The 26,950-nt window shown below is 39.2% G+C and overlaps 1 protein-coding gene across 21 annotated transcripts in view, besides 3 other annotated features; it reads right to left on the reverse strand.

Moving 5' to 3' along the window:
* Positions 1 to 26,950, reverse strand: part of MEMO1 (mediator of cell motility 1) — a 143,186-nt gene that overhangs the window by 87,080 nt on the left and 29,156 nt on the right. Inside the window, exon 2 of one of the 21 annotated variants that reach the window (NR_163995.2) lies at positions 13,147 to 13,185. The exons of 19 other annotated variants lie outside the window; for them this stretch is intronic. The gene's annotated coding sequence lies outside the window, so the exon portion shown is untranslated. Of the gene's footprint in view, positions 1 to 1,544; positions 1,697 to 13,146; positions 13,186 to 26,950 lie in introns of all 21 variants that reach the window. One more of the 21 variants, NM_001371918.2, reaches the window with a different exon arrangement.
* Positions 17,693 to 17,772: a silencer, noted in NCBI's record as "silent region_11332". NCBI's record gives its function as "represses an Ori minimal core promoter by ATAC-STARR-seq in GM12878 lymphoblastoid cells {active_cell/tissue: GM12878}" and the evidence as "EXISTENCE:reporter gene assay evidence [ECO:0000049][PMID:35858748]".
* Positions 24,205 to 24,405: a silencer, noted in NCBI's record as "peak3645 fragment used in MPRA reporter construct". NCBI's record gives its function as "represses an SCP1 promoter by STARR-seq MPRAs in K562 erythroleukemia cells {active_cell/tissue: K562}" and the evidence as "EXISTENCE:reporter gene assay evidence [ECO:0000049][PMID:32103011]".
* Positions 26,218 to 26,317: an enhancer, noted in NCBI's record as "active region_15554". NCBI's record gives its function as "activates an Ori minimal core promoter by ATAC-STARR-seq in GM12878 lymphoblastoid cells {active_cell/tissue: GM12878}" and the evidence as "EXISTENCE:reporter gene assay evidence [ECO:0000049][PMID:35858748]".

Raw genomic sequence — 26,950 nt, forward strand, 5'->3', positions numbered from 1 at the left:
CAACCAGGAATTTTTAACAACCTCTGCAGGAAACTCCATTGCACGTTAAAATGTGAGACTGGGCGCAGTGGCTCATGCATGTAATCCCAGTACTTTGAAAGTCCAAAGAGGGAGGATCACTTGAGCTCAGGAGTTCAAGACCAGCCTGGGCAACATGGTGAAACCCCATCTCCACAAAAAAATACAAAAATTAGCCGGGTGTGGTGGCGCATGCCTGTAGTACTACTCCAGGGCTGAGGCAGGAAGATCGCTTGAGTCCAGGAGGTCAAATCTGCAGTGAGACCCTGTCTCAAAAAAAAAAACAAAAAACAAACAAACAAACGTGAGGCCCACTGCCTTAAAGGAGTTTATTTGCACATGCTATATTCTCAGTGAATGCAGCTAACAGACTCCTGGAAGGTTTATACCTGAGATTTTTCAGTGTAATTGAGAAATCATATAATCTATAAATTAGCAATAAATAAACACATTAATTTTACCTCCAAGCTACTTTGAAGCCTTAAGTAACCCCCTTGTTTCTTAGACTCACTTCAATTAATTCCTCTCCAGCTTTTCCAAATAACACTGATAAGGGAAGAAAATAAAACTCAGACTCTTAGACCCTAGGTGATACTTAAACTCAAAATTATCTTTTAAAATCTTCTGTTTTAGTCCAAAAATTCATGAGAATGTTCTAGTCTAATTGAAAACTATCCATGTTTATTTCTTTTTTTTTCTTTTTTTGTGACAGAGTTTTGCTCTTCTTGCCCAGGCTGGAGTGCAATGGGGCGATCTCGGCTCACTGCAACCTCCACCTCCAGGGTTCAAGTGATTCTCCTGCCTCAGCCTCCCCAGTAGCTGAGATTATAGGCATGCACCACTAGGCCCAACTAATTTTGTATTTTCAGTAAAGACAGGGTTTTACCATGTTGGTCAGGCTTGTCTCAAACTCCTGACCTCAGGTGATCCACTAGCCTCAGCCTCCCAAAGCGCTGGTAGTACAGGCGTGAGCCACCATGCTCGGCCATCCACGTTTATTTCAAAACGCCCCAATATTCCTCCATGCTCCTATTTCCAATTTAAATGAAGGCTTCAAAAACACCATGTTTACCGTCTGACAAAAGGGTCCAGTACTCTAGTGAGGGAAATATAAATCTGGACCATAAAAAGCAACCACCTCAAGTGACACAAATGCTTGAAGTTGAGTCGACAGTACTTCCCTAAAACAGAGCTAAACAGAAATGATTATTTCCTTCCAAATTCAGCTAGCATATTTCTTTTTTCTTCATTTTTTGGAGTTTACAATTAGTCAGTAGTAGTAATCAGGATAATTCAGTACTCAAATCCTAAAACAAAAACATAATCTGTGGAAAAATAAAGTAAGTCTGCCTGACTGGAAAGAATCAGGACTAGGATAACACTTCCCACACAAGGTAGCACTTCTTATGCAATTTCTTTGAAAAAAAAAAAAAGGAGTTTCTTAAGAGAAAATGAAAAGTTAGAATTTTTATTTTTCATATATTTCTACCACAAAACAGATTTGTAAACATTAAGCACTGTCTCACCCTATTCAGTGTGATACTGATTTCCTTCTGTAAGAGCTTTCACTCACAGTTTGATCAGGAGAAGCAGATCAAGCCCAGAGGATGACACCATGTAAAATGTGGTAAGAGAGGCTGTAATGATTGCACATGGGTGAACTGACAGAACAAACAATCTGAAAATTGAATAGTCAAAAATAAACTAGTTAAATAAATTATGGCAGACTCATAAACCAGAATATTAAGCAACCGGAAAACAATGAAGCAAAATTTTATGAACCTCTATGGAACATCTTTTAATTGAGGGGGAAGAACACGCATTATACACAACAGAAGGTACAATACGTTGCCATTTTTGTGTGTGCATATATATCATACATGATTATGTATTGGTTTGTATTTATGTAGAATATCTCTGGAGGAACAAAAGAAATGTGTAGGCCAGACACAGTGGCTCACGCCTCTAATCCCAGCACTTTGGGAGGCCGAGGCAGGCAGATCACAAGGTCAGGAGATGGAGACCATCCTGGCCAACATGGTGAAGCCCCATCTCCACTAAAAATACAAAAATTAACTGGGTGTGGTAGCATGTGCCTGTAGTCCCAGCTACTCGGGAGGCTGAAGCAGGAGAATCACTTGAACCAGGGAGGTGGAGATTGCGGTGAAATGAAATCGTGCCATTGCACTCCAGCCTGGTCAACGAAAGCGAAACTCCGTCTCAAAAAAAAAAAAAAAAAGAAATGTGTAACAGTTACTGCATCCTGAAAAGGGAACAAAGAGAGACACTTTGCTTTTCACTGTATACTCTTTCAGATCGTTTGTATTTTACACTACGTACATGTATTATCTATCAAAAAATTAAGTAATAAAAAATATGGTGCAATCATATAACAGAATACTATGAAGTCATAAACAATGATGCTGTGGGATATGTCTACTGATGTGGAAAAAGGCCTCTGAATGCTAAACCTGGCTAAAAACAAATCATTGTTGAACCTAAGATAATAGCTACATTAACAATCTAGGTTAAAATGCATAAAACCAAACTTTTAAGAATTGCTATTTAACAAATAACATATAGATTACAGTAATTAGATATATGTGGGCCAATGTGACCAAGTTTCCCTATTAGCAAAAAGGAACTTCCTCCTTTTACTTTACTTTCCTAAGTATGATATCCATCACCAAATATCTGGTAGAAAGAAGCAGAGAACATGGAAATACTCTAGAAAAGAACCATCTAGAGAACAGTCAAGACATGAAACACCTTATTAATATCTTTCTTCATAATTCTTCTCTAATGAACAAAATTAACAGTTACAACAGTTTTATTTGTCTAGCAAGGGCTTGAGCTATTCTCCACTCTGACTTCGTCAGCATTTACAGATAATCTAGATAAGTTAAATTGCCTTCTGAAGTAATTAACTATAATGGGATACAATTTTTGGTTTTGGGTATTTGTTGTGGCATGTTGAGGTCTGTTTCCTTCTTTCACTAAGCACTAGTACTGCAAGTGCCAGCTCATCCATCTAAAAAGTTTCTGATTTAGCAACCATAAGATGCACAAAAAAGAATCCCAGCAACCTCTGCCCTTATAACTGGCCAAGAAACATGTCTACTGTGGACTGAGTGATGGGAAATGGGCATGCCAGGTTTCAGATGTGCAGGGGAATAAAAAAAGGTAATCAGATATAACACCCATCACAATAAAAGACTTTCCAGAGGGTTCTGATATTGATAAATTAGGGGGAAAACTAAGTTTGGAAATGAAGGGCACAGTCCATAAAAGTTGAGTTGTATGTGTGTATCCACTCTGCCAAACACTTTGCTTTTAAAGTTGTTGGTGCTTGAGCATGACTGAGGCTCTGACCTTTTCTGATATGATTTCCAGTTCATTCCCTTTGGAATGAACTGCCTGACGCTGAAGCAGACGTGTTAATGTAAAAAAGGTGCCTGGATTGAAGTGGTACCTCTCCAACTAACAGGAAATCATAACAGAAAAGGTCAGAGCCTCAGTCATGCCCAAGCACCAGCAACTTTAAAAGGATTCTACAATGCCATGGCACCTTCTTTTCAACCACAGTCCCCACAAAACTTCTATTTAAGAAATAAGAACCTCTTCCTGCTCTTAGGCCGAATCAGCAAATGAACTAATAACCCATCAACTAACCTCAATTTTGTAAAAGCCACCATCCTCCAAACTGTGTGTGGTGTTTTGTTTTGTTTTGTTTTGTTTCATTTTGTTTTGAGACAAGCTCTGGCTCTATCACCCTGGCCGGAATGCAATGGCACGATCTCAGCTGAGTGCAACCTCCGCTTCCCTGGCTCAAGCCATCCTTCTACCTCAGCCTCCTGAGTAGCTGGGACCACAGGTATGCGACACTACGCCTGGTTAATTTTTTATTTTTAGTAAAGATGGGGTTTCACCATGTTGACCAAGCTGGTCTAAAACTCCTGGGCTCAAGCAATCCATCTGCCTCAGCCTCACAAAGTGCTGGGATTACAGGCATGAGCCACGTGCCCAGCCCAAACTGTGTTAAACAAAGTTAGACTAGAACTGTGTGCCTAAATAAATTGAAGGGGGATAAGAGAAAGAATCAATGATTATTAAAATGGGCCTAGATGAATAATAATACCAGTACCAATAACAAGATCAAGGAAAGCCATGAAGTTTGTTCTAAGATGAAGACTTTGATTTTGGACACACCAAAAGTTATAGGAGACAACAAGGCAACCAGCTGAATATTCCCATTAGTAAGAGTGTGAGCCTTAAGTGCAGGAAAAGGGATCAAGAGATTTCAGAATCATTTAATTAAGGTGGTAAAGACAAAAGAATGCATAAGAGCCATCTGAACGTGGACTGACTGATGATGATGACAATAGAAATGTTAGAAAAAGTGAGTCCTGAGATACAGGTACTTGGGCAGAGAAGTAAGAAGTTGGGCCAATAAGGAAGGGAAAAGAGGTGCAGCTCAAGAGATAAAGAGAAGATACAGTACAAGGAAAGCAAAGAGATGAGATCTTTCATGAAGATTAACAGAATCCAACTCTCTCTAATGAATAAGCACAATGAGAACTGAAAAAAAAAAAGCCAATCAATTGATTTTGGTGATTATGAGAAATTGGGAGCCTTTGAGCAGTTATTTTTCAGGGGTTGCAGGTAAAAGTTGCATTTACAAGTAGTTACAGACAAGATGAGGTACAAGAAAATGGAGAAAGCAAATGAAAACTACTCCAAAAAAAAATGAAGGTAGTTAAACTTCCTATTTCATCACCTCGAGGATCTCCCAATTTGAAGTCTACAGAACCTCAAATAAAATTCATTTACCTTATGAAACACAACCTTGGGCATCAGCAATTGTATTTTTTATACCTCACAACAAAGAAAGCTATCTATTAATGTCACGGGAAAGTCAGTATTCAAGTATCTGACAACATGCTTCTGCAACTGCACTCAAATAGCAAACAACCTGAATCTAAAAGTGCATTTTTTGAAAGATAAATGTTAATCATTTCTGGCCTGGTGTGGTGGTTCATGCCTACAATCCCAGCACTTTGGGAGTCCCAGGAGGGCGGATCACTTGAGGCCAGGAGTTCAAGACCAGCCTGGCTAAAAGTACAAAAATCAGCCGGGTGTGGCGGCGCATGCCTATAGTCCCAGCTACATGGGAGGCTGAGGCATGAGAACTGCTTGGACCTAGGAGGCAGAAGTTGCAGTGAGTCGATATCACGCCACTGCACTGCAGCCTGGGTGATAGAGCAAGATCCTCTCTCAAAAAAAAAAAAAAAATTCTAAAATGTTTTCTGCACATTCACATTAAACAATACAGGCTAAGAATCCTGGAGCTAGCACTACAGTACTCAAGCCATTATTTCAAATTAAAAAGGAGAATGATAATTAAAAATACTAGCATTTGGTGTTGGAAGCATAGCTTTTATCTAAGGACATCAAAGCAACTTTTGAACATCTATTAATTATAGCCTTTCTAAACTATCCTGTTTACTGTAGCAAAACACAAGCATGAAAATAATTACACTGTACCCTGCTAACACACAAAATATGATTAAGAACTATTTGTAACTAATATTCAATAATTACAATAAATTAAGATATAATAACAAAAGTTACTTTGGATAAAGTACTTCAATATGAAAAGTAAAATCTTCTCTATTTATTTATTTATTTAGAGTCTCACTCTATTACCCAGGCTGGAGTGCAGTGGTGTGATCTTGGCTCACTGCAACCTCCACTTCCGGGGTTCAAGCAATTCTTGTGCCTCAGCCACCCAAGTAGCTGGGATTACAGGCACCCACCACCATACCCGGCTAATTTTTGTATTTTTAGTAGAGAGAGTGTTTCCCCATGTTGGTCAGACTGCTCTTGAGCTCCTGACCTCAAGTGATCCGCCCGCCTCAGCCTACCAAAGTGCTAGGATTACAGGTGTGAGCCACCAGGCCTGGCCAAATCTTCTCAATTTAAATTTCAGTAACTGTCATCCAGAAAAATTCAGAAAAGGACCAAATTTTTTTAGTCTATTAAGGAAAAAAGTTTGCTAAGCAAATACTATAAACAAAGTAACAAATGTAAGCAAAGCATATTATTTTCAGCTAATTTAGATATACTTGATGTTAAATTCAAAAAGGAGGCAAGAGGCCAGGTGCAGTGACTCACGCCTGTAAATCCCAGCACTTTGGGAGGCCAAGGCGGACAGATCACTCGAGGTCAGGAGTTCGAGACCAGCCTGGCCAACATGGGGAATCCCCCTCTCTACTGAAAATACAAAAATTAGCTGGGTGTGGCGGCAAGTGCCTATAATCTCAGCTACTCAGGAGGCTGAGGCAGGAGAACTGCTTGAACCTGGGAGGCAGAGGTTGTAGTGAGCGAGATCACACCATTGCACTCTAGCCTGGGTGATAAAGGAAGGCTCCATCAAAAAAAAAGAGGCAACAATATGCCAGAAAAAACTGCAATCTGGGAGGACATGAAAAAAACAGAATTTACAGTGTACCTACAATGTGTCAGGCACACTACTGGGTTCTTTAAAATATGTTATCTTGGGCCAGCCATGGTGGCTCACGCCTATAATCCCAGCACTTTGGGAGGCCTAGGCAGGCGAATTGCTTGAGCTCCGGATTTCAAGACCAGCCTGGGCAACACAGTGAGACTCTGTCTCTATAAAAAATTTAAAAAAAAACAAAAAAAAAACTAGCTAGGCATGGTTACACACACCTATAGCCCCAGCTACTCAGGAAGCTGAGGTGGGAGGATCATTTGTGCCTGGGAGGCAGAGGGTGCAGTGACCCAAGATCGTGCTACTATACTGCAGCCTGGGTGACAAAGTGAGACCCTGACTCAAAAAAAAAAAAAGTTATCCTGGTTAACTGTCACAGTAATCCTATGACATAGTTATTATCTGTAGTTTATAAATAAACCAAAAAAATCAAGTTTCCTCAAGGTCACATGACTAGTAAATGGCAATGCTAAGAATCTGAGCCATTTTAGTCTGGCTCTGAACTCCCACTATAGCATGCTGACGACTCTAAGACCAAGTCATTCCCAATAACTAGATCTGGCCCTCTGTTTCCTTTTCTGTAAAAAAAAAAATGAAGAGGATAAACTCAATTGCGTCTGTAATTCAGTTGTTATACTAAGAGGTAAAATTGTTCAGGTTGATACAAAGAATGGCCAGGAATGGTGGTTTACACCTGTAATCCCACCATTCTGGGAGGCCAAGGCGAGAGGATTGAGTCCAGGAGGTCGAGACCAGCCTGGGCAACACAGTGGTGAAACCCCATCTCTACTAAAAACACAAAAACTTGGCTGGGTGTGGTGGCATGCACCTGTAATCCCAGCTATTCAGAAGGCTGAGGTAGGAGAATCACCTGAGCCTGGGGAAGTCGAGGCTGCAGTGAGCCAAGATCATGCCACTGCACTCCAGCCTGAGTAACCAGAGTGAGACTCTGCCAAAAAAGAAGAAAAGAAAAGAAAGAAGAGAGAGAGAGATAACTATAAACCACGTGTATCCATTTTACTAGGTATGACTCTGTGCTGTAAGTTTTCATTCTATGCTTCTCTCAAGTACTTTATCAGAAACAAACATCAATATGACACTGACAGAGTAAACACCAAAAACCTCCTTCCCAAAAGTGAGAAAAGGCATCTAAAAATTAAGTATAAGATAATGTAATCACTTTTAAGAAATTACACCTTTCCAAATGAAAAAACACTAAAAGTAAAGCTTTGAAAAGTATGAATCTCAAAGTGTTTTCATCATCAAAAGTATCATCAAAGGGCATTCATTGACTGACAACAATATTTAGGGCAGGAAATGTACAAAATGAGCCTGGATGTGACAGTTAATTTTATGTGTTGACTTAACTGGACCAGAGGGTGCCCAGACATTTGGTCAAGCATTTTTCTGGATGTATCTGTGAGAGTATTTCTAGATAAGATTAACATTTCAATCAGCAGACTAAGTAAAGCAGATTATCCTCCCTATGTGGGTAGGCCCCACCTCATCAGTTGAAGGCCTGCCTAAAACAAAAAGGTTGACCCTCCCCCAAGTAAGACAGAACTAATTCCTCCTGACTAAGCCTTCAAGCAACAACATCAGATTTCTTCTGCCTTCACCTTCAAACTGAAATACTGGCTCTTCCTAAGTCTTGAGTCAACCAACCCATCCTCAGTCTCTAACTACACCATTAGCTCTCCCATTTCTTAGGGCTTCAGACTCAAAGTGAAACCGCACCGTCAGCTCTCCTGGGTCTCCAGCTTGCTGACTGCACATCTTGGCACTTGTCAGCCCTCCATAATGGCATGAGTCAATTCCAAATAAATCTCTTTCTATATTGAAGATAAACAGATCTACAGATAGGGATACAGATAGATATAGATACAAATATAGTTATAAAGGTGTAGACACACATACCCTACTGGTTCTGTTTCTCTGAAGGACACTGACTAATACTCCAAGAAGCAAGGAAAGCTAAAATATCTATGACAGGTGAAAACAAAATATTCCCCAGTTACTTTTGGACAATGGTAGGAAACAAATTCATTATTTGGAAAACTGGTAAATAAAAGAAAAAGGTCAAGCATTATTTATCCTTTTTCTATATGAACTGTGTAGGGTTTTTTGGCAGGTGACGGGGGTGTGACCAAATAGTCAAGGTTGGGAAGTATTCCTTTAGATAAGTATTATAGATAATAAATGAAGGTAGAAGGATAAAATATCACCACTTTGCAAGCCCTAATAAATCAATAGATAAAAACAATGTTCATGAATGGCTGCCAATAGCACCACACCAAGAGAGTCAGGCATTCTCTATTTCCTGACATAAAAACAAAAAGCCTGACTGATCAGTTCTCTAAATCTGTGCTGTTCAATACAGGAGTCACTAGCCACATACTGCTACTGGGTACTTGAAATGTGGCTAATACTGAGATGTGCTATAAGTATAAAATACACACCAAATTTCTAAGATTCATACCAAAAAAAGAATGCAATATACTTCATTAATTTCATTGATTATATGTTGAAATAATAACATTGTGGATATACTGGGTCAAATAAAAGTATTATTCAAACCAATTTTACCCGTTTCTTTTCACTTTTTAAAAAAGTATATATGGAAAAATTCAAATTATATATGGCTTAAATTTATGGCTTACGTTATATTAGACAGGAATACTCTAAATCAAATTACCAAATTGTATAAAATACATGAGACAGAAAAACGTTGAACACCATCGCAGCCTCCACGGTATGAGGATGTCTGAAAGTCAAAACCCAGTTTCTTTATACATACACATACACGTACACAAACACACACACAAACACAGTTTTTTTTTTAATGCAAGAAAACGAGAAAGTGAGATAGAGGTGAAATGTGTAGATTAAAGACTTAACAGACATACCAACTAATTAAAATGTATGGGGTCTTACATGAATCTCAAGCAGTTTAAAAAGAAATTATAAAAATCACCGAGTAGGCCGGGTGCGGTGGCTCACGCCTGTAATTCCAGAACTTTGGGAGGCCGAGGCGGGTGGATCACCTGAGGTCAGGAGTTCGAGATCAGCCTGACCAACATGGAGAAACCCCGTCTCTACTAAAAACACAAAAAAAAATTAGCCAGGTGTGGTGGCGCATGGCTGTAATCCCAGCTACTCCAGAGGCTGAAGCAAGAGAATCACTTGCACCTGGGAGGCGGAGGTTGCGGTGAGCCGAGATTCCGCCATTGCACTCCAGCTTGGGCAACAGGAGCGAAACTCCATCTCAAAAAAACAAATAAATAAATAAATAATAAAAATTAAAATTAAAATTAAATAAAAATCACTGAGTAGACAGGAAGGAACTGTTGTTTTTACAGTGATAATAGTATTGTGGTTATGTTTTAAATTTTTACAAAATAGTTTCTTTTTTTATTTGTATTCCCTTCTTTTCACAGGTGTTCAAGTTTCTTTTAGAGCTATATACTGGAATGTCTGCAGATGAAATGATATGGTGAGGCTGGGTGCAGCGGCTCACCCCTGTAATCCCAACACATTGGGAGGTTGAGGCGGGTGGATCACTTGAAGTCAGGAATTTGAGACGAGTCTGGCCAACATAATGAAACCCTGTCTCTACTAAAAATACAAAATTAGTCGGGAGTGGTGGTGCATGCCTATAATCCCAGCTACTTGGGAGGATGAGGCAGGAGAATCGCTTGAACCGGAGAGGCAGAGGTTATAGTGAGCCAGGATCGCACCATTGCACTCCAGCCTGGGCAACAAGGGCGAAACTCCATCAAAAAAAAGAAAGAAAGGAAAGGAAGGGAAGAAAGGGAGGGAAAAAAGGGAGGGAAGGAAGGGAAGAGAAGGGAAGGGAAGAAGGGAAGGAGGGAAGGAGGGACGGAGGGAGGAAGAGAGGGAGGGAATGGTGAGTTCTGTGTCAAAGTAATGTGGTGGGAGAAACTAATGCTGGGAGGCAACTATAAAGGGGTACAGATGAAACAAGTCAGCCATAGGATAATAATCTTGTAAATGGGGTAAATGAGGGTTCATTACAGTGTTCTTTCCACTGTTACAGAACCACAATTTTAGAGTTGGAAAGAATATTATAAATGAGAACAAAGTAAATATAAGGGAAAGAAATGAAGATAAAGCCAGAAATACCTGGGTATGTGACCTAAACAAAACTCTTTTAAGTTTCAGTTTCCTTATCTATAAAAATGAGGATAAAAAGGAATGAGATCATGTCCTTTGCAGGGACATGGATGAAGTTGGAAGCCATCATCCTCAGCAAACTAATGCAAGAACAGAAAACCAAACACTGCATGTTCTCACTTATAAGTAGGAGCTGAACAATGAGAACACATGGACACAGGGAGGGGAACAAACACACTGTGGCCTGTCAGGGGGTTGTGGGAGGGACAGCATTAGGAAAAATAGCTAATGCATGCCGGGCTTAATACCGAGGTGATGGGTTGACAGGTGCAGCAAACCACCATGGCATACGTTTACAACAAACCTGCACATCCTACACATGTACCTTAGAACTTATAATAAAATAAAATTAAAATTTTTAAAATGAGGATAAAACACTTACTTTATATGGAGTGGTTAAGCATTAAATGGAATAACACATATTAAACATATGTTTGCTAAAAGCCAACTCTTTCCACCCTTTCCTAAAGTACTAAACAAACAAGAGCTCAACTGGCCCAATCTCCTCATTCAAAAAGTGAGAAAACTAGCAAAAATTCTCACAAGTCTAAATGCAGTTAGCGCCTCTTTCCAACTACCATCCCTTCATTCCCACATAATACATTACAAAAATGGCTCTGTATACCTCCACTGTTTAAATAGAGACTTATTTTAGGATGAACAGAATTTTACTAAGTTCTCACTTACCAGCCAGTGTCAGTTACCACTACTGGTTATTCGGTGATCTGTCATTAGAGTTTGAAGCAGACACCTTTCTTCTGAAAGATGAATAGTAAGTATGAACTGTCTTTAATAACTATTTGCCATTAAAACTAGGTCTGGCCAGGCGCGGTGGCTCACGCCTATAATCCTAGCCCTTTGGGAGGCCAAGGCAGGGGGATCACCTGAGGTCAGGAGTTCAAGACCATGCTGGCCAACATGAGGAAACCCCCTTTCTACCAAAAATACAAAAATTAGCCAGGCATGGTGGCACGACCTGTAGTCCCAGCTACTTGGAAGGCTGAGGCAGGAAAATCACTTGAACTTCCGCTGAAGCAGAGGTTGCAGTGAGCCCAGATCGCACCACTGCACTCCAGCCTGGGTAACAGAGCAAGACTCTGTCTCAAAAAAAAAAAATGAAAAAAATAAAAAGGGAGATAAAATAAAATCTTTGGAAAAATATTGTATTTATGTTGAAAACAACCTGAGTAAACACTGCCACATTTGTAAATGATGTACACCAATATGCTTTCAGTGATTATTCTGGGATGTCAAATTACGAATACTTTGTCATCTCTATACGTTCAAACTTTTTCTATAATAACCAAGTATTTTTATAATTTAAAAAAGCTTTGTATAAATATAGGATAATACAGGACTTTGTTCTATAAAGGACAGAAATAGTAATCCATACTAAACTGTTTTGTAGTTATTGACATAATTTCATTAAATAAAAATTGCTGTGTGAGAAATATTAATAGGTCCCAATCATTTACCAGTCAATAGTCAGTATTTTATTTTTTTTTTTTTTTTGGAGACGGAGTCTCGCTTTGTTGCCCAGGCTGGAGTGCAGCGGCGCCATCTCGGCTCACTGCAAGCTCCGCCTCCCGGGTTCACACCATTCTCCTGCCTCAGCCTCCTGAGTAGCTGGGATTACAGGTGCCCACCACCACGCCCGGCTAATTTTTTTGTATTTTTTAGTAGAGATGGGGTTTCACCATGTTAGCCAGGATGTCTCGATCTCCTGACCTCGTGATCCGCCTGCCTCAGCCTCCCAAAGTGCTGGGATTACAGGCGTGAGCCACCGCGCCCGGCCAATAGTCAGTAACTATTTTTAATAAAAGTATAATTTTTTCTTTGAGACAGGGTCTTGCTGTGTCACCTGGCCTGGAGTGCAGTGGCATAATTATGACTCACTGCAGCCTTGACCTCCGGGCTCAAGCAATCCTCCCATGTCAGCCTTCCAAGTAACTGGGGACTGCAGGCATGCACCATCACACCTGGCTAATTATTTTTTGTAGAGACAAGGTTTCACGATATTGTCCAAGCTGGTCTCAAACTCCTGGGCTCAAGTGATCCATCCAGCTTGGCCTCCAAAAGTGCTGGGACAACAGGGCATGAGCCACCATGCCCGGCCTAATAAAAGTATAATTTCTTAGTAAAACTTAATAGATTTTTGAAAATGTGTGTTTGTGTTTAGTGGGAGGTTTTTTCCCCACTAAACACAGACATGCATTTTTTAAAAATTGTTTATGTAAAGTACAGAAAGTAGTTATTGTGCAATTATTATAACCTCTATCTTCAAATATTATCTTGGAGAGTCATCTGAGGCCTTGGAAGAATGAGAGACTGACCAACATACTTAGATAATAAGAATCAAAACTCGCAATGATGGGTAAGCATTTTTCTGGAGAAAAAGAAAAATGGAAGTAAAAACTCACAATGGCCAACCAAAAGTCAGGAGTCCTGTGTGTCTCAATCTGTAGGTCAAGAGCCAAATAGAATAGAATTAGCTGCTGTGCTTAATAAAAATTAAGACTCTCCAAAGGCTGACCCAGAAAGACTGAAGCAGAATTTCTGGGAGCGTTCTCAAACCAATGAACATCTGTCTGAGCCAGTTTCCTCATCTATAAAAAAAGGAATGATGAAAATGCTTTGTAGGGGAAATACGGGAATAGGATGCATCTGCAGATCTGAGCTCCTTCTGGCTTCAACTAACACCAAGGGACCCAAAGATGTCTACACCCAAGTGGGGCTGACTGCAAACACTTCCACCATGGAATGGTAGAACTATGTTCAGGAGCTGTCATGCTGATAACCCGACCCAGAATTCCCTAAGTCCTGAACTATTTGCCACTACTAATAGTATGAGTAGATTTCTAGTATTATGGACACCTCCTGGTAGCAAACAGTCCAGTTAATTAATGTGCAGCCTCTGTTCTGTTAGTGACCAAATTGCACAAGGACAAGTCCCCCAAGAAGTGTCAGATTAATTACAAAGGAGGTCTCCTTTTCTTTCAATTGTTTCCCTGACAACAAAACTACTCTTCAGTCCATATCCTTGCATTCCAATCTCCATGCTTTCCCGAAAATTCCTAACATATAAATTAAGTGTTCCGTTTGTTTCACAATTCAATGTCTATTTGTTTGTTTTCATTCAAATTTGTCATTGTTGTCCATCATAGATGGACATCACAGAATTTTAGATAGTAAATATGTTCTCTAAAGAGGACACTTCCATTCCATTTTTAACTCTTTCTTCTCATAAACTAGAAAATACTTTAAAAGTCCTGATGCAGTTTACAGCATATTTATAATAAAATTGTTAATTTTAAAGTAAAAGTTAAAAAAATGGTTGATAAACTAAGAAGTTTAAAATACCAAACAAGTAGGTAAGTAGACTACCATATGTGCATAATATATATTATTAATACTAATAATGTGATTTTAAATAAATGATATGGACAAACCAATTTTCCCAATAATGTCTATTCCATACACAGGAAAATCTAGTCACTATATCCAACTGGCCATTTGATAAGTAAGACTATATTAAATACACAGGAAACTTTCTGGCAGGATTCCTAATCTCCAATATTTCAGCACCAAGTCTCATGTTAGACTTACTGGTAAGTGATTTAAGCAGGCTACAAAGCTATATATATATATATATCCTGCTTTATACATAATATATATACACATATATACATGTGTGATATGTGTGTATATATACACATTATACATATATATGTTACGTGTATATATATACACATGTGTATATATATACGTGTATATACATATATACACGTATATATACATATATGTGTGTGTATACGCATATATATCACACATATGTGTATAATGATCTCATTTTTATAGACAGAAAAAAGTTTAAAAAAGATATTAGGATAACAAGTGACTTATTTCAGCTTTATATTTATCTATACTTTCTAAATCTTTTCTGGGGGTGTGTGTGTGGGTGTGTGTGTGTGTGTGTGTGTGTGTGTGTGTGTGTGTGTGTGTGTGTTTAAGACAGGCTCTCTCTGTTGCCCAGGCTGGAGTGCAATGGCACAATCACTGTAACCTCAAACTCCTGGAAACAAGCAACCCTCCCACCTCAGCCTCCCAAGCACCTGGGACTACAGGGATGCATCACTACACCCAACTAACTTTTTTTTTTTTTTAAGACAAGGGATCTTACTATATTGCCCAGTCTGGTCTCAAGCAATCCTCCCACCTTGGCCCCCCAAAATGCTGGGATTATAGGCGTGAGCCACTGTGCCTGGCCACGGTATTTTCTAAATTTTCTATAACTTACCTGAATTACTTTTGTAATAAATATAACACAAGTTCACTTTTCTCTTTTTTCTTGGCAGGGGACGGGGACAGAATCTTGCTCTCTTGCCCAGGCTGGAGTGCAGTGGCGCCATCTCAGTTCACTGTAACCTCCCCATCCCAGGTTCAAGCAAGTCTCCTGTCTCAGCCTCCTGAGTAGCTGGGATTACAGGCATGCACCATCATACCTTGCTAATTTTTGTATTTTTAGTAGAGATGGGGTTTCACCATGTTGGCCAGGCTGGTCTGAACTCCTGACCTCAAGCAATCCGCCACCTCGGCCTCCCAAAGTGCTGAGATTACAGGAATGAGCCACCGCGCCTGGCCTCTCTTTCGTAATTTTCAGTAGCCCTCTCTCCAGAGGGACAATTCTGCCCCTGTGATCTCACGACAATTTTACGTTTGCTACAGTAATCTTATTATGGTATTAGAAAATGTAGCTTGTTTAAAGGACATAATTCTAATTTAGTTGATCTCAGCCTCGTTTTTATTTTAGCCAACTACTCAAGCAGTTTCATGGTTTTTTATTGAATCAAACATTTATTAAACACCTATTCTATGTTAGACACTGTTATACAACCTGGCTTCCTGATGAGTCTTAGGTTTACTATCTGTTATCATCTTTTTTTTAACCAAACTGTATAGTTCTCATTGACACGCAAAATGCACTATCATTCCCACCAGGATGAAGCAAAAAAAAAAAAGCACAAATGCATACACAAAACACTTTTTATTAATACCACTGACCACTTTAACAACATTGCAGGTTCAAAGATATTCAGCCGGCACGGTGGCTCACGCCTGTAATCCCGGCACTTTGGGAGGCCGAGGTGGGGGGATCACTTGAGGTCAGGAGTTTGAGACCAGCCTGGCCAACGTGGTGAAACCCCGTCTCTACTAAAAATAGACCAATTAGCTGGACATGGTGGCAGGCACCTGAAATCCCAGCTACGTAGGAGGCTGAAACAGGAAAATCACTTGAACCCAGAAGGTGGAGGTTGCAGTGAGCCAAGATCACACCACTGCACTCCAGCCTGGGTGACAGAGCGAGACTCCATCTCAAAATAAAACAAAGATATTTCATATAATTACCTACAAATTAGACCAAAAGAGTTTAACTCTCTCCAAAAGCCACCTTAATATTTTGCTGTTGTTACATTTTCAGATGTTTTAATTTACTCATTGATGCATTCATATGGATCTCTTACCATCTGCAGGATATGTTTGCTGTTAAATTATAAAGATTGTAGGCCCTCTTTCTTAGGCATAAACCTAACATAGGCACAGTCACCCAGAAAAATGTAAGCATAAACCTTTTTTTTTGAAAAAGAGTCTTGCTCTGTTGCCCAAGCTGTTGTACAGTGGTGCAATCATAGCTTACTGCAGTCTCGACCTCCTGGGCTCAAGTGATCCTCCCAACTCAGCCTCCCAACGAGCTAGGACTACAGGCTTGCATCACCATGCCCAGATGATTTGTTTTTAATTTTTTGTAGCCCAGGCTGGTCTTGCACTCCTGGGCTCAAGAGATCCTCCTATTGTGGCCTCCCAAAGTGCTGGGATTATAGGCATGAGTCCCCGTGCCCAGCCTAAACCCTTTATTTTTTATTATTATTTTTAGAGATAGAGTCTTGCTGTGTTGCCCAGGCTGAACTAGAACTCCTAGGCTCAAAAAAACCTTCCACCTCAGCCTTGCAAAGTAGCTGGAACTACAGGCACAAAAACCTAATTTAAAGAAATACAACTAAGGCCGGGCAAGGTGGCTCACGCCAGTAATCCCAGCATTTTGGGAGGCCGAGGTGGGAGGATTACCTGAGGTCAGGAGTTCAAGACCAGCCTGGCCAACATAGTGAAACTCCATCTCTACTAAAAATATAAAACTTAGCCAGGCGTGGTGGCACACACCTATAATCCCAGCTGCTCGGGAGGCTGAGGCAGGAAAATTGCTTGAGCCCAGGAGGCAGAGGTTGCAGTGAGCCAAGATCGTGCCACTGCACTCCATCCTGGCCGTCAGAGCGAGACTCTGTCTCAAAAAAAAAGAAAAGAAAAGAAAAGAAATATAACTAAAACCAAGCATGTGGAAGATTCAATAATATAAAATTATATCAAGCGCCTTATACTACAAGATTCAGAAAGGTGCAGACTAGGAACAGCACTACACAAAATTATATGTGAAATACCTTTTTTTATAATAATCTCTCAAATGTTTCTATAACTGATGTAGCAGAGAGATGGTCTGGTGGTCTGATGAACCTTTCTTTGAACTCATATACAGAAAATCCAGTACAAAGTAACTTTTGGATGTTGTATTACTCATTCGTTTTCAATTCCCCACCTTCTGAAGCAAGTGAAACAAAGCTGGCTGTGTCAAAAACATACCAAATTAAGAAATGATATAACAACAACAAAAAATTAAAAGCTCTACTTAAAAGCCAATTTAATAAAGACATTACTAATTACCTTACAGAAAAGGATAAGAGAATAGTATGGGCCGAATGCAGTGGCTCACCCCCATAATCCCAGCACTTTGGGAGGCCGAGGCAGGTGGATCACTTGAGGTCAGGAGTTCTAGACCAGCCTGGCCAACATGGTGAAACCCCTTCTCTACTAAAAATACCAAAATTAGCCAGGCATAGTAGTGTGCACCTGTAGTCCCAGCTACTCAGGAGGCTGAGACAGGAGAATTGCTTGAGCCCAGGAGATGGAGGTTGCAGTGAGCCAAGATCGTGCTACTGCACTCCAGCCTAGGCAACAGAGTGAGACTCCATCTCAAAAAAAAAGCTAAGACAACCTACAGAATGGGAGGAAATACTTGCAAATCACATACAGGATTAATACCCAGAATATATACAGAACTCTTACAACTCAACAACAAAAGAGACAACCCAATTTTAAAATGGGCATAGGACTTAAATAGACATTTCTCCAAGGAAGAAATACAATGACCAATAAGCACATGAAAAGATGATCATCCTTTTTAGCCATCATGGAAATGTAAATCAAACCACAATGAGCTACCACTTCATACCTACTAGGATGGCTATTTTTAAAAAAGGGAAAATGGCAAGTGACAGCTAAGAGACAGACTAGAATCCTCATATATTGCTGGTAGGACTCTAAAATGGTGCAGTCACTGTGGAAAAGTTTGTCAGTTCCTAAAGATGTTGAACACAGAATTGCCACTGACCCACCAATTCCACTCTTAGGTATATATCTAAAAGAATTAAAAACAGGCTGGGCACAGTGGCTCATGCCTGTAATCCCAGCACTTTGGGAGGCCGAGGTGGGTGGATTACCTGAGGTCAGGAGTTCGAGACCAGCCTGGCCAACATGGTGAAACCCCGTCTCTACTAAAAATACAAAAATTAGCCATGTGTGGTGGCGGGTGCCTGTAATCCCAGCTACTTGGGAGGCTGAGGCAGGAGAATTGCTTGAACCCAGGAGACGGAGGTTGCAGTGAGCCAAGATCATGCCACTGCACTCCAGACTCAGTGACAGAGCAAGACTCTGTCTCGGGAAGAGAAAAAAAAAAAGAATTAAAAGCAGGTATTTAAACAGAGATACTTGTACACAAATACTGATGGCAGCACTATTCACAAAAGCCAAAAGGTGGAACAGTCTTTTGAAATGTCCGTCAGCAGATAAATGGAAAAACAAAATGTGTTATATACATACAATAAAGTATTATTCAGTCATAAAAAAGAATGAAGTACTGATATATGCTACTATGTGAATGAACCTTGAAAGTGCCATGCTAAGTGAAAGAAGCCAGACACAAGAAGTCACATACAATACCATATCATTTATGTAAAATATCCAAAATAGGTAAATCCATAGAAACAGAAAGCAGATTTGTGGTTTATGGGGGATAAGAGGAGGAAAAGGAGAGTGACTGCTTAATAGGGGTTTTCTTTTGGAGTTAGAAAAATGTTCTGAAACTTGATACAGGTGGTAGTTGCACAACATTGTGAATGTATTAAATGTCAATGAAATACACACATTATAATTGCTAATTTGTATTATATGAATTTCACCTCAATAAAATCAACAAAGAAAAAAGACAATTTAGATAAATCTTTTTATAGGAGTTCATAAGTGTGATAAAAATAAAAAATTAGTTAAAGCAGAAACTGCTAATTGTTTCTCGCTCGCTCCCTCCCTCCCTCCCTCCAATCTTTTGTAACAGTTTAATATCATGGATATTCACAAAACATGCTAACTTCCTCTGTAATACAAAAATAGGGGCACTTCCTTTATTCACCATGTTTTTGCCTGATAATCAACAAAGTTAAATCAATTTATGACATCATTTGCAGTTAATAATTTAAATGTGCAACACTTAATGCCAATTACTATAATATACTGGTTGGAAAATCACATTTTCAGTTTTACATTCAAAATATACTTATTTAAGAAAACCAAGGTACTTATCCCTGACAAGATGGTTTATGTAATGAATATTTAAGGTGTTATATACTTTTCCAATGACTCAAATTTGCTTCTAAGTAAAAATTAAAACATTTGCGGCCGGGCACGGTGACTCACGCCTGTAATCCCAGTATTCTGGGGGGTTGAGGCAGGTGGATCACGAGGTCAACAGATGGAGACCATCCTGGCCAACATGGTGAAAACCTGTCTCTACTAAAAACACAAAAATTAGCCGGGCATGGTTGTATGCACCTGTAGTCCCAGCTACTTGGGAGGCTGAGGCAGGAGAACCACTTGAACCCAGGGGGGCCAGGGTTGCGGGGAGGCACAGAGGTTGCAGTGAGCCAAGATTGCGCCATTGCACTTCAGCCTGGGCAACAAGAGTGAAAATACATCTCTAAAAAGACCAAAAAACAAACCAAAAAAAAATTGGTAGTGAAATCATGAAAGTTCTAAGGGGTACTCTGCTGATTATTTTCTTAAGCCATAAGAGGAATACCATGAAAATTTAAAAAAAAATTGGCAGGGCGCAGTGGCTCATGCCTGTAATCCCTGCACTTTGAGAGGCCGAGGCAAGTGGATCACCTGAGGTCAGGAGTTTGAGACCAGCTTGGCCAACATGATGAAACCCCATCTCTACTAAAAATACAAAAAATCAGCTGGACGTGGTGGCAGGCACCTGTAATCCCAGCTACTCGGGAGGCTGAGGCAGGAGAATCGCTTGAAACTGGGAGGCAGAGGTTGCAGTGAGCCAAGATCGTGCCACTGCACTCCAGCCTGGGTGACAAGAACAAAACTCCATCTCAAAAAAACAAACAAATAAATAAATAACGTTTATTCCTACTTAGTCTGCAAAAGGAAAGTAAAACTAATGTAAAAGAATTATTTAAAAAGAAATACACATGCACACCAGTTTGGTAAGTAGGATGATACCTAAATTATGCATTCTCCTGAGACAAAGCTCCTTTAGACAAAACTAGAGTTTGAAGAAAATTCTCATCTCCTGATCTTTGTGACGGTCAGAGGAGTCAGCAGGCAATATATAAACATTTTGGGACTTTTGGGGACCAGTTATGTAAAAGCCCATACTCCTCTTGAACCCATTCTCTATCTCCTAGACACATGGGAGGTGCCACCCAGATCTCAAGAGTACAGCACTTAGCTTCCACATCCATTAGTGTGTACCTAGAAAAAAAGACAGTAGTGTCCTAGATTCATTTCTTCCTAAGAAGCAGAACACTTTAATGATGAGCTAAGAAAGGAGTCTAAACTCTGATACATTTAAATGTGGCAAAAATCAAAAATGCTGAAAATGATGTCCAAATAAGCATTAGTGCTAACAAGTCACATTCCTAAAAATTACTAAAAAATACACTCATATATTAAAAATATAGAGACAATTAAAAAAGAACCCACAATGTCCAGAGTTGGACTGTACATACAAATCACTTTCTCTTCAAGTGGCCCATAAATTATGAATATGAAATTTTAATTCCAACTAAGACTCTTAATATAGTAAATTTCCTTTTTCTTTTCTTTGCTTTTTTGAGACATTCTGACTCTGTCACCCAGGCTGGAATACAGTGGCACAATCTCAGCTCACCGTAACCTCTCCCAGATTCAAGTGATTCTTCTGCCTCAGCCTCCCGAGTAGCTGGGATTCCAGATGTGCACCACCATACCCAGCTAATTTAATTGCAATTACTTTTAATAAATGTTTCCCCTGAGATTAGTACTCCACAACTGAACAATGGATGAGGAAAAGATAAAGTATCAAATGGGGAAGCAAATTCTCACAGTTTAAAATTTTTAAATAGAGTTGGAAGTAGAAAAACACTAACAGCACAAAAAAGCTAAACTTAAATGCTTTCTCCATGTACATTCCAAACTTAGAAAGTATAATTCAGAACTATAAAGAATATATTTTCAGCCAGGCATGGTGGCTCACACCTGTAATCCCAGCACTTTGGAAGGCTGAGGAGGGCAGATGACTTGAAGCCAGGAGTTCGAAACCAGGCAGGCCAACAGGGTGAAACTCCATCTCTACAAAAAATACAAAAATTAGCCAGGCATGGTGGCACATGCCTGTAATCCCAGCTACTCAGGAGGCTGAGGCATGAAAATCACTTGAACCTGGGAGGCAGAGGTTGCAGTGAGCTGAAATCACACCACTGGACTCCAGTCTGGGTGACAGAGCAAGACTGTCTCAAAAAAAAAAAAGAAAGAATATATTTTCAGAACCAATATAAAGTAAGGATAATTAAATATCTCAACTGTCAAGAGAATATTCATTTCTAAAAATTCACATATTACTATGATCATAATTTTTTTGCTATTTTTGCTAATCAATACAAATATAGCTTTTTTTCTTTTAGAGAGTCTTTCATTTCCTGATGAAATTAAACACCAAAATATTTCAAGCAAGAGTATATATTTTCAGATTATAAACGAGATTTATGAGACAGGATGAACAAAATGAAAATGTTAATTAAGCAACATTACTGAGACTGCATATATGGCTTATCCTCTTTACCAGCAAGCAATTATTGAGATCTTTGTGTATATGACACTAACTACAAAAAAGCACCAGCAACAGCCGTTTCCATCAAAAGACCTATCTAGTTGGGTAAACAACTAAATAAAACAAGGTAGGATATATACAGCACCTAATAAAGGATTTAGAGTTCAGAAGAAGGAAAATGTTGGGAAGAAAAAGGGATAAACTAGAAAGCAGAAATAGAGAAGCAGAAGACGGCAGGGTATTTCAAACAGAAAGAAGCCATGAACAAAAGCATAGAAGTGGATATGACAAATTCAGTTCATGAAACAAAAACCTGCATAGTTGAGAAAGGGAAAGCTAGAATAGCTGACCCCTTTAAAACCTAGGTTAAGCAGTTTGCTCATTTTCTGTGTAGACAGACAGTCAATGGGGAGCCACTGAAGGTTTAGGACTTCTCATGCTTGAAAAATATTATTTACAAGAGTAACATTCAATCATGTGCACTGTATAGTTTAAGCAACATGCATGGCTAAAATCTTTAACCTTAAGTCACAATGATGACCGCAGGAAAACAACATCTTTAATTTTACACATTAGAGAATTTTCTTAAAATTATCTTGCTTTTAATTAATTTATTTACTTATTTAATTTATTTATTTATTTTGAGAGAGGTTCTCACTCTGTCACCCAGGCTGGAGTACAGTGGCACGATCTCAGCTCACCACAACCTCTGCCTCCTAGGTACAAGCGATTCTCCTGCCTCAGCCTCCCAAGTAGCTGGGACTACAGGTGTGCGCCACCACTGCCACCGCCACCACCACGCCTGGCTAATTTCTGCATTTTTTGTTAGAGGTGGGATTTCACCATGTTGGCCAGGCTGGTCTCAAACTCTTGACCTCAAATGATTCAGCCTCCCAAAATGATGGGATTACAGGCATGAGCCACCATGCCCAGCATACCCTTACTTTTATTTTACACTATGAAACTTCACAAAATAAAATATGTAGTATGAGTTAAATTATTTTCTAATATTTTATATTCAAGTAAACATACATGGTTAATAATCTAGGATATTGCTTTATTAAAACTTATGCTTTATTAAAACAAACAATATGACATGGTGATTAAGAGCTCCAACTGCAGAGTCAGCTGGTTGAAAAACCAGCACCAACTACATGACTTTGAACAACCCAAGGTTCAGTTTCTTCATATGACCGCTGTATTAAAAGAGAAATGCAGCCAGGCACGGTGGCTCACACCTGTAATCCCAGCACTGTGGTAAGTCAAGGCGGGAGGATCATTTGAGGTCAGGAGTTCGAGATCAGCCTGGCCAACATGGTCAAACTCCATCTCTACTAAAAATACAAAAATTAGCTGGGCGTGGTGGTGGGCACCTGTAATCCCAGCTACTCAGAAGGCTATGGCAGGAGAATCACTTGAACCCAGGAGGAGGAGGTTGCAATGAGCCCGAGATCAGGTCATTGCACTCCACCCTGAGCAAGACAGCAAGACTCTGTCTCAAAAAAAATAAAATAAAAGAGAAATGCAAGTGCAAATGCCTGGCATATAGTAAAGGTTCAAAAAATGTTGGCTATAATTATTAAAGAGAATCCAGAAACTCATGCTGGAGTGCAGTGGCATGATCATCATAGCTCACTGAGCTTACACAATCCTCCCACCTCGGCTTCCCGAGTAGCTAGGACTACAGGCACACGCCACCATGACCGGCTAGTTTTTTAATATTTGGTAGAGATGGGGTCTTGCTGTGTTGCCCATACCCGGCCTCAAGTGATCCTCTCACCTTGGCCTTCCAAAGTGCTGGGGCTGCAGGCTTAAGCCACCGTGCCTGGCCTAAAATGCATATTCTCATTTTGAGCAAAGCCCCAAACACTGGATACCATTAATTTGTCTCCTTGTTATTCAGTATCTTTTTTCTTTTGAAATATATTTTCCCAAGCAACATCTAATAATTTACTTCTATTATGGCCATCTTTACACATTAGGTATGTCTCAAAATTTTTTTCATAAGGCAATACTTTGCCTATGGAATCACATTTTCCCAGATTTTACCATTCTATGAAATGATTATCCATCCCCCCCCAAAAAAAAGTCTTGATGTATTTCACACTGCTATAAAGATACCACTCAAGACTGGGTAATTTATAAAGAAAACAGGTTTAATTGACTCACAGGTCCACATGGCTGGGGAGGTGGCAGAAGGTGAGGGGGAAGCAAGGACCTTCTTCACATGGCATCAGGAGAGAGAAGAGAAAAGCCCAGAAGAGACTGCCATTTATAAAACCATCAGATCTCGTGAGAAATCCCTCACTACGATGAGAACAGCAGAGAGGAAACCAGACCCATGATCCAATCACCTCCCACCAGGTCTCTCCCTCAACGCCTGGGGATTACAATTCAAGATAAGATTTGGGTGGGGACACAATGCCTAACTATATAACTTGATATTAAAATATTAACAATAATCACATATAGGAATCCTAACATTTAATGCAAGAGCTATCCCTAATGTTCATTTTATTTTTCTTTGCTGTCTCTAAAAGTTAACTAATACTAAACTGATCTTTACATGAGGTTTCACACTTATTAATAATTACATATATTAAGTAAAATATATTTAATTCCTGTTTTTCAGAAAATCATCAAAATTTGTGAATCTGCTATGGATAAACAGCAGTGGTGACAGCACAATGTCAATGTACTTAATGCCTTGAACTATACATTTAAAAATGGTTAATAAGGCAAATGTTATGTAATTTTAATCCCAATTTTTTAAAAATAAAAAATAAAGTATTAAAAAACTGTGAGTCTGAATTTTAAAAAACAAAAAGCAAGCTAAAAACACCATGGTACTGGAATGCCATGCCATTGCTTTAGTTGATGATTGTCAGAAAAATCACAATTTAAAGATAGATATTGCTAACTTCTAGTGTTGGCTCCTCTGAACTGTAGCAGGGGCTCGTTTGTACTTATTTTCTACTTCAACTCCCTGTGAAATGTTACTATGTAATTAGTAAATAATTATTGACTGATATGTAGAAACTAGCCATTTATTAATATAACAGATAATGGACAAACTATAGATAGACTATATCCAAGTCCAAATCAGAAACTGTCTTAATTTAAAAAAAAAAAAAAGAAAGAAAAAAACTGTCTTAACTCAGTTATCTAAAAACAGTACTTTTAAATTTAAAAAGAACGGAAACTAATGACTAAATTATATTGATGCCAAAGTTACATTAGCAAGGAAATTTTAAAATATTTTGCCAGGCATGGTGACTCACAACTGTAATCCCAATACTTTGAGGGGATGAGGCAGGCGGATTGCTTGAAGCCATGAGCTGGAGACCAGCCTGGACAATAAAGCAAGACCCCCAACTCTACAGAAAATTTTAAAATTAGCTGGGCGTGGTGACAAACACCTGCATTCCCAGCTACTTGGAAGGCCAAGACAGGAGGACTGCTTGAACCCAGGAGTTGGAGGCTGCAATGAGCTACGATCACACCACTGCACTGCAGCAACTAGGTGACAGAATGAGACCCTGTCTATAAAAATAAATATATAATTTTTAGATTTTTTTTATTTTTAAGTCATTGTTCTTCATTCAATGATTGCTCCATTATAACATTTTTAAATGCATGAGTCAAATTACTTGAACTCTGTCATTTCACATGGCTTCCTATCATAATTAGAATAAAACACAAACTATTTTACCAATCCTATATAAGATGATATAGGATACAGTTTTAGCCTCCTTCTCCAACATTTTTCACTGTATTTCAGCCATACATTCCCTCTAAAAGGAAAACTCTCCCACTGAGAACGTCACGGCGTTTGGGATTTCAATTTAACTTCTACCTGCACAGAAAAGCCACCTCTAAACCCATATCTATAGTAACTTCTAGTCACTTCTGCATTACTTGTTGACCACAGCCAAATGCAGAGGCAAGTAGTACCAAGCATGGTAATATAAGGCATAATATCACAGGACCCTTCCATCTAGCAACAGATGACTAAATCAGGAAGAGCCAGCAGCCAATACGGTAGTCTCAGCAGCAAGAGTTCTATACAAATTAAACGTGGTGACTAGATAAACTAATCAGTGTCCAACTCTTTCCCATCTCCCTCACACAGTTTAAATAGTCAATCGTACACCAATTCAGAAGAAACTGACCTTGAATAACCTAATGTCAAAATAGTAGAGAAGAAGTGTTTATCAGAATCATATACAGAGTTTTAGAAGAAAACAGACAATCCCCATTACTAAAGAAGACTGACTGACTGAACAGATCTGAAGGAGGGCCCCACAGACAGTTCTTACTACAGCCTCTAGTTGAGAACCACAGCAGGAGTAGTTAGAGTAAAGTAGTTAGAGCTCCCTGGTTTCCTCAATGACTGCCCATTTCCTCAACCACTCTCTGTCTTCCTGACACCTTGTTATGCAGCAGTTGGGACTTTTATGTCATTTACCTTCCCATAATAAATCTCCACTACTTAAGGTAACTTAAACCTATCTCTCTGCCTTAAAACCTAAACAATATATTATCTGACTTGTGGCATGAAAGCCATGTATCCAAATGTTAAAAATAATCACCAAACAAATGTTCTTCCTTGCCACATTTGGCCTAATTTTTCTAAAACATTGTGATATTTATTAATCCTATATTCAAACTTCAAATGAAACCACAAACAAGAACCAAGGGAGAAAAGCATTTATTTGCCTTAACAAAATCAACATTTTAGTTAATACAAGGGAAACTCATGTATTTTACTCCCAAGAAAGTTCCCAAAAATTCAAGACTTAACTTCACTCAATTCCAATAAATTTATTTTCCAAACACCCAACCACAGGATCTTGTTTGAAAACCAACAACCAGGGGGAAAGCAACAGACTGCTACAAACAGGCATAATGACACCTAAAAGAAATTATCTATACATACACACATTTTTTTCAAAGAAATAGAC

The sequence above is a fragment of the Homo sapiens genome, chromosome 2, assembly GCF_000001405.40.
Source record: "Homo sapiens chromosome 2, GRCh38.p14 Primary Assembly".
Classification (NCBI taxonomy): domain Eukaryota; kingdom Metazoa; phylum Chordata; class Mammalia; order Primates; family Hominidae; genus Homo; species Homo sapiens.